The sequence below is a fragment of the Homo sapiens genome, chromosome 1 (assembly GCF_000001405.40).
Source record: "Homo sapiens chromosome 1, GRCh38.p14 Primary Assembly".
NCBI lineage: Eukaryota > Metazoa > Chordata > Mammalia > Primates > Hominidae > Homo > Homo sapiens.
In genome coordinates, this window is record NC_000001.11 from 248,769,869 (window position 1) to 248,779,076 (window position 9,208).

At 41.2% G+C, this 9,208-nt stretch overlaps 1 pseudogene; it reads right to left on the reverse strand.

Moving 5' to 3' along the window:
• DPY19L4P1 (DPY19L4 pseudogene 1) lies at positions 1,481-4,017 on the reverse strand (annotated as a pseudogene).

Consider the following 9,208-nt stretch of genomic DNA (forward strand, 5'->3'; position numbering starts at 1 on the left):
TGAATGAGATTAGAGACTATTATTCTAAGTGAAGTAACTCAGGTATGGAAAACCAAACATTGTATGTTCTCACTCATAAGTGGGGGCTAAGCTATGAGAATGCAAAGGCATGGGAATGACACAGTGGACTTTGGGGACTCAGGGAAAGGGTGGAAAGGGGTGAGGGATAAAAGACTACAAATTGGATGCAGTGTGCACTGCTCAGGTGACAGGTGCGCCAAAATCTCACAAATCACCACTAAAGAATGTACTCATGTGGCTGGGTGTGGTGGCTCACGCCTGTAATCCCAGCACTTTGGGAGGCTGAAGAGGGCAGATCACCTGAGGTCAGGAGTTCAAGACCAGCCTTACCAACAAGGAGAAACCCCGTCTCTACTAAAAGTACAAAAAAATTAGCCGGGCACGGTGGCCCATGCTTGTAATCCCAGCCACTCGGGAGGCTGAGGCAGGAGAATCGCTTGAACCCAGGAGGCAGAGGTTGTGGTGAGCCGAGATCGAGCCATTGCACTCCAGTCTGGGCAACAAAAGTGAAACTCTGTCTCAAAAAAATAAAATAAAAAAGAATGTACTCATGTAACCAAATACCACCTGTTCCCCAATAACCCATGGAAATCAAAATTTTATATATATATATATATATATATATATATATATATATATATATACACATATATATATATATACATATATATATATATACATATAATAGGTAACAGTTGTTTTATCATGATTAAATTGGTATCAAATTAATAGGTATAAGTGAAAAAACTAATCACTTACTAGTCATAAAAAAATGCAATAATATCATGCACTATGTATTACCAAGAAAGTAACTCAGATAAGCAGCAGATGATGAGAAGAGTATCCTGAAAATTCTGGATATATCCTTATGTATATCCTTAAAAATCACTTACTTCCCTTTATGTAATTTTGATTTTAATTTAAATGTCATGTATTTTCAGCTAACATTTAAATTAGTCTTTTGTTGTAAAACTTCAGTTGTTATAAATCATGAAACATTTTCAGAAACTTGCTTGGTGGTAGAAATAATTCTTTCCTTCTATTATATAATTATATCACATTAAATATTTATAAAATTATGTTTGAGAAATATATTCTGACCTTGAACATAATCAAATTCAAGATCAACATTATAATAGAATGAAGATTTATGGGGAAATGTTGCAATCAGTAAAATCTTTAAAGACCAGGTAATAGTAAAGAAGATACCCGTCTGAAATATTGCAGAGTGGTAGATATCACATTTTATCAAAGGACAGTAACGTTTGATCTTCTGTTTCCCACAGAACTCTGGATCCGGTTAACAGCAGGTAGGGAGAAGCAGCGGCAATATTTCAAATGTCCCTATTTGATCTGAGCAGGTAGAAAAAAATTGCATTCTACTTCAGGTAGTCTGTGAAATTAAGGTTCAGTTATTTTTCAAGATTGGGAGGACATCACAGTGTTGATTTTTTTTTTTTTTTTTTTTTTTTTTGAGATGGAGTCTCGCTCTGTCACCCAGGCTGGAGTGCAGTGGCACGATCTTGGCTCACTGCAAGCTCCATCTCCTGGGTTCACGCCATTCTACTGCCTCAGCCTCCCGAGTAGCTGGGACTACAGGCATCCAGCGCCACGCCCGGCCAATTTTTTGTATTTTTTTAGTAGAGACAGGGTTTCACCGTGTTAGCCAGGATGGTCTCGATCTCCTGACCTCTTGATCTGCCTGCCTCAGCCTCCCAAAGTGCTGGGATTACAGGTGTGAGCCACTGCACGTGGCCCGCAGTGTTGATTTTGTGTACAAAGTAGGATCTGTTCCAGTATACTCTAGTGAGATAATTCACACATAGAGAACAGTTAATTCTGACCTCATGAAAAAATTGCCCATATTTTGAGTAGGTTAGCTTGTCACCTTCTTTGCAAACCATGTGGTCATTTTCAATGTCTAATAAATCTTTAACCCTACAGCCTCTCTGGTTCCCAACTCATTGCAGATAGTATCCTCTACCATTAGGTAATTAGCTTTGTTGGCTGTCGGTATGTTATAAATACTCTCAGCAGATCGCTTTGGATGTATTTGGTAGATGTTTTCATTTCTCTTGAGAAGATCATCATTGTAAAGAGGCAAACTTGTCACCAGCCTTCCAGTGCATAACTTCATCGCACCCATTAACTGTGGACTCCCTGCAAACACAGTTGCAGCTGGAACTGGCCTTTTTATCCATGTCATAAGTTCCACTGTACCTGGGTCGTAGAATTCCTGTCACTCCGTTAATTGTGCCATTAATCTTGGAAAAAAGCTCTTTCTATAAACTGAGACCTACTATAGTAGGCACAGCCATGCTCAGGGAGAGACAACCACATTGGGTATACAGTTCTTAATCAGCACCACTTGAAAAGTGTCGTTCAAAGTTCAGAAGAACGTACACCAAATCCTGCTAACGTGCACACATAAGGAATCCAGATGTACTTCAAGCCTTCTATAACCATCACAAGAGAACCCAATAAAATAGTGTGAATTATGAAATAATTTCTCCAATAATGTCACCAATTCGTTCATCTTCAAGAGTAACAGCTTCTTTCAGGGATTTACCATTAATCCTCCTAAAAATAACTTGCAACATAGGAACAAAATAAATAATTAACACTAAAATATAAAAGGGTAATAAAGAAGACTGTGTCAATCACACACACACACAAAATCCTGAGATGGCCCCTGTAGAGATTCTTGACAGAGGAGCCAATTCATTGTAAAATTCTTAGCCATATTTGGTCCAAACTTAACTTCAAGGAATTTCAGCATGAGCCCGTTTTCTCTGTTTAGGACAAACATCTTCATTATAACATACAATGTCACTGTTAGAGTACACACCAAGTAAAAATTAATCACTTTCATTATTTTAGCTACAAAGTTTCCTTTCTTTAGATTCAGCAAAGGCACTTAGCAAGCATTGAGACTGCTACCAAACTTAATAAACAAGATACCAATAAAGGTTGATTCTCTAGCTGCAGTAAATATCCCAGGAAGAGAGAAAATACATAGATTTTATAAACTTCATAAACCTCATCACTTTGCTCCAGTGAAAAGATATCTAGCAGGAACAGAGTTATGGCTTGAAGAAACGGGAGAGTGGCTGTACTCCCCATCATCATAAATGTGTAAATTGAAGCACTCATCAGCAAGTAGCAAAACCTCTCTCCATAAGTATTTAAGTTGCTTTCTCATAGCCTGTAAGTCCAGTAACTTGGCATGCAAAATATGGTAGTGCCCAGTTTTCTCTTAAAGGAATGGAGTATTCAATTCTTGTATTATATCTACCCTGTTAATAATGACCCACGCAACAGTAAGCATTCCTGCTAGCCACGTTCCATTCATAAGCCAACTTGTAACAAACAAAGCAATAACATATATTCCTTACACTCCAAAAACAATGCCAATATAGAAATACTCCACCTCAATAATCTCATTGCTACCAGTGGCTTGATATAAAACGCTGGCAATAGGTTCTGGATATAGAAACATTTGCTACACTGCATTTATGCTATTCAGAGATACAGTTTTGTTATTGTGTGTCAGTTCATAAACACCTCTTTCAAATGAAGGCGCCTTTAACACATCTTTATGAGTAATAAATGCCACTGTCACCCTGAAATGTGATTTCCCGGTCAAGCTCCTGCCTGTTGGAAAACCAGAATTTCTGTTCGTGGTATACAGATAAGTAGAGATCATACATCATACCACCAGTAACTGCTGCAAGACAGCCAGTGAAAATCTTTGCAAAGCCTTGAAATCATACATGTCTTGGAGTTCCTTCAGAAACTGGAATGTCACTGATTTTCTCTTCTTTGGCAGATTCCTTATTTTCTGAAGATTTTGGCATTTTTCTTTAATGCAGCTCTACAATTGGTCCTTATTCATCTGCCTTTGTCCCCTCAGGGCGTGGGGCACCCCTCCAACTCCCTCCCGGCCTGGAGTTATCCTGCCTCCACCTGGCGGAACCCCCCAACCCTGGCCCACTCGTAGCCATCACGCCCCCACTATCTGACCTGCCCAATTCAAGGTATATTTTTGATGAAAAATGTTATAAATAAAGTAATTTTTTTTGAGACAGAGTTTCACTCTGTCACCCAGGCTGGAGGGCAGTGGTGTGATCTCAGCTCACTGCAACCTCTGCCTCCAGGGTTCAAGCGATTCTCCTGCCTCAGCCTACTGAGTAGCCGGGACTACAGGTGTGTGCCACCACGCCTGAGTAATTTTTGTATTTTTAATAGAGATGGGGTTTCACCATGTTTGCCAGCCTGTCTTGAACTCCTGACCTCAGGTGATCCGCCCACCTCACCCTCCCAAAGTGCTGGGCTTACAGGTGTCAGCCATCGCGCCCGGCCAAAAATAACTTTATATGGAAAGAAAATCTTGTATGGTAATTTCTTGCCCTAAAGTAAAATAGCTGATTGTTTAGGAAAGAGAAACGTAAGACAAGTCAGAAAGTCTAAGCATGCGGCAACCTATGTAAGTTGTAATAAGGTTCATGAAGGAGAATTTACAAGAGGGATTCTGTATGTGATTAAGTTGACTATAATTAAAAGGGAATTATTTATAATAATCTCTCTAGCATTAGTCCCCTATGTTAAAACAAGGTTTTCTTAAGGTACTCATTTGCTCTTAATGAATTACAAGAATGTTTCTTTTTAACTTTATAATCTTTTTTTTAATTCCTCAGACTCATATCTCAGAACTTCAACTTTTGCTGTGTCTCACTGCTTTCAGCTTGTTCTCCCCTTGAGAAGGGTTAAAATGAAGGCCTAAAACTCTCCTTTACCTTTTCATCAGCTCCCGTAACTTTTTTCCTCCGGTTATAACTATTGTTGTGGCCTAATGCTAAAATGTTTTATCTTAAAGTTGCAGAGAAGCAATATTTTCCTCCAGTTTAACTTGATTCTGTGCTCTGGGCTTTTCTTGATATGTCTAAATTTTGCAATGTGATCAGGACACTTGTCATACAGTTACTAAGAATTATGTATTTCCTTGCTATACTCCTAGCCTTGAACACATTCTTCCTGATTAAATTGAAGCACTTTCTTTCATCAGGTTTAACTTCCAGGTTATCTAATGGGTTTCCCATAAGGAGAACAACATGTTACGTTTTGTCGAAATAATTCCTATGCTGTTTTTTGGTTGGTTTGTTTGTTTTTGAGACAGGGTCTCACTCTGTCTACCAGGCTGAAGTGCAGTGGCACAATCTCGGCTCACTGCAGCCTCGACCTCCCAGGCTCAAGCAGTCTTCCCACCTCAGCTTCCTGAGTAGCTGTGACTACAGGAGTGTGCCACTATACCTGGCTACTTTGTGTATTTGTGGTAGAGACGGGGTTTCACTATGTTGGCTAAGCAAGTGTTGCCTTTATTGGGTTTTCAACTGCCTAGAAAAACAGATCTAAAAGGGTTAAGGTTTTTACATCCATTGTAACCTTCTATATTGCCTTTAACGTCTTCTGATGATCACTTTGGTTAAATGAGTATTATTTTATGATGACCTGTGACTCGGTTTTAATCAAATCCTTTGAGTATTTTAACATCTTTGACAGATGTCTTTAAAACTGAATCTAGAATTGTGTCTGACCTTTTGCCCAAAGCTATAAAAATTAATCACCGTAAGATTACAAAATCTTTTTGCAGCTTCCAGTCAGGTCACGGTCTCCAGCATCACTATCTCCAACCACTTGAAAAGGTCCTTATCAGGTGCTATTAACTAATATTTGTGCTGTTAAATTATACAGCTTTGACTCGTAGGTGCACATATCTTATCCAAAGAAGACATTGACTCCTGCCAGTATCTGACACCCCAACTCAAGTTAATCAGTCTTATGCAAAGAAGACATTGGCTCCTGCCAGTATCTGACGCCCCAACTCAAGTTAATCAGAGCCTTGTCTCTGGACCCAATCAAAGGTGACAACCAAAGTAAACTGCTTTTATGAGACACAGGGACAGGCCAGCATTCAAAACCATTAGGATTCATTTAATAATGCTGCCTTTATCTAAAATAATATAATTTGTTCTATGTCTTGATACTAAATAATTTAAATGTTTAATTACCTATAAGCTTCCTTTTCTGCCATTCTCAGAACTAGGCAGGGCTTATGACATTTTGATTTAAAACTTTGCTAATTCTTTATGTTTTGTTTCACCTCTAAAAATCTAAAACTATTCAATCCCTCCAGGCCCAGGGACTGTTACAGAAGAGATGTGACACAGTTTGGCTCTGTGTCTTCACCCCAATCTCATTTCAAATTGTAATCCCCACAAGTCAGAGGAGGGGGCGGATGGGAGGTGACTGAATCATGGCGCAGATTTCCCCCTTGCTGTTCTCACCATAGTGAGTTCTCGTGATTATTTGTTTGTTCTAAAGTGTGTGGCACTTCCTTCTCTCTCTCTCTTTCTCTCTCTCTCCTGCCACCATGTAAGATGTGTCTTGCTTCTCCTTCACTTTCCACTATGATTGTAAGTTTCCTGAGGACTCCCCACCCATGTGGAACTGTGAGACAATTAAACTCTTTTCTTTATAAATTACCCAGTCTCAGGTAGTTCATTATGGCAGTGTGAAAATGGACTGATTGAGAAAATTGATACCAGGAGAGTGGGGCACTGCTATAAAGATAACTGAAAATGTGGAAATGACTTTGGAACTGGGTAATGGGCAGAAGTTAGAACAGTTTGGAAGGCACAGAAGAAGACAGGAAGATGTGGGAAAGTTTGAAACTTCCTAGAAACTTGTTGAATGGTTGTGACCAAAATGCTGAAAGTGATATGAACAGTGAAGACCAGGCTGAGGAGGTCTCACATGGAGATGAGGAATTTATTGGGAACCGGATTAAAGGTCACTCTTGCTATGCTTCAGCAAAGAGACCCATGGCATTTTGCCCCTGCCCTAGAGATCTGTGGAACTTTGAATCTGAGAGAGATGATTTAGGGTATCTGGCAGAAGAAATTTCTAAGTGGTAAAACATTCAAGACATGACCTGGATGTTCCTAATAGCATATAGTCATATGTGCTCACAAAGAAATGATCTGAAATTGGAACTTATGTTTAAAAGGAAGCAGAGCATAAAGGTTTGGAAAATTTGCAGCCTGGTCATGTGGTAGAAAAGAAACACCCATTTTCCAGGGAGGAATTCAAGCCCAAGCCAGCTGCAGAAATTTGCATAAGTAATAAGGAGCCAAATGTTAATAGCCAAGAAAATGAGGAAAATGTCTCCAGGGCATTTTGGAGATCTTCATGGCAGCCCCTCCCATCATAGGCCCAAGGCCTAGGAGGGAAAAAAGATTTTGTGGGCCAGGCCTAGGACCCAGCTGTTCTGTGTAGCCTCAGGACTTGATAGCCTGCATCCCAGCCACTCCAGCTCCATCCATGGCTAAAAGGGGTAAAAAATACAGCTTGGGCTGTGGCTTCAGAGGGTGTAAGCCCAAGCCTTGGTGGCTTCCATGGAGTGTTGGGCCTGTGGGTGCACAGAAGGTAAGAGTTGAGATTTGGGGATCTTCACCTACATTTCACAGGATGTATGGAAATGCCTAGATGTCCAGAGAGAAGTCTGCTGCAGGGGTAAAACCCTCATGGAGAACCTCCACTAGGGCAGTGCAAAGGGAAAATGTGGAGTTGGAGCCTTCTTACAGAGTCCCCACTAGGGCATGCCTAGTGGAGCTGTGGGAAGGGGTGCACCATCCTGCAGAACCCATGGTCAATCCACTGACAGCTTGCACCATGAACCTGGAAAAGCCACAGGCACTCAACACCAGCACATGAAAGCAGCCATGGGGGCTGTACCCTGTGGAGCCACAGAGGCAGATCTGCCCAATGCCTTGGGAGCCCACCCCTTGCTTCAGTGGGCCCTGGATGTGAGATGTGAAGTCAAAGGAGATCATTTTGGAGCTTTAAGATATAATGACTACTCTGCTGGGTTTTAGACTTCCGTGGGGCCTGTAGCCCCTTTGTTTTGGCCAATATCTCCCATTTAGAACAGGAATATTTACCCAATGCTTGTACTCCCATTGTATCTTGGAAGTAACTAATTTGCTTTTGATTTTACTGGGTCATAGGTGGAAGGGACTTGCCTTGTCTCAGATGAGACTTTGGACTTAGACTTTTGAGTTAATGCTGGAATAAGTTAAGACTTTGGGAGACTGTTGGAAAGGCCTGATTGTGCTTTGACGCATGAGAAGAACATGAAATTTGGAGGGGCAGGGGCAGAATGATATGGTTTGGTTCTGTATCCCCACCAAAATCTCATCACAAATTGTAATCTTCATGTGTCAGGGGAGGGGCCTGGTGGGAGGTAATTGAATCATGTGGTGGGGGGAGTGGGTACTTCCCTCTTGCTGTTCTCATAGTAGTGAGTGAGTTCTCATGAGATCTGGTTGTTTGAAAGTGTGTGGCACTTTCATTTCTCGCTCTCTCATGCCACCATGTAAGACATGACACTTCACCTTCTGCCATGATTGTAAGTTTCCTGAGGCCTCCCCAGCCATGTGGAACTGTGAGTAATTAAACCTCCTTCCTTTCTAAATTACCAATCTCAGGTATTTCTTTATAATAGTGTAAAAATGGACAATACAAGGTGGATTTGTGAGATTGCAAGGGCTGGGTTTGGAGGATAAGATCAATTCAGACCCTCCAAATCAAGCATCTAGGGAACCCTGATGCAAGGGGTGGGCTCTCAAGGCATTCAGCAGGCTCTGTGGCTCTGCACGGTACAGCTCCTGTGACTGCTTTCACAGCTGGTGTTGAGTGCTGCACCTTTTCCAGGAGCAAGGTGCAAGCTATCAGCGGATCTACCATTCTAGGTTCTGGAGGATGGTGGCCCTCTCGTCACAGCTCCACTAGGCAGTGCCACAGTAGGAACTCTGTGTGGGTGCTCCGACCCCACATTCCCTTCCACACTGCCCTAGGAGAGTTTCTCCATGAGGGCTGCAAATTTTCCATATCTTTACGCTTTGCTTCCCTTTGAAACATAAGTTTCCATTTCAGACCAATCTCTTTGTGAATGCATATAAGCATACACTTTGAGAAAGAGCCAGGTTACATATTGAACATTTTTGCTGCTTAGAAATTTGTTCTGGCGGATACCCTAAATCATCTCTCTCAGATTCAAAGTTCCGCAGATCCCTAGGGCAGGGGCAAAATGCCACCAGTCTCTTTGCTGAAGTATAGCAAGAGTGAC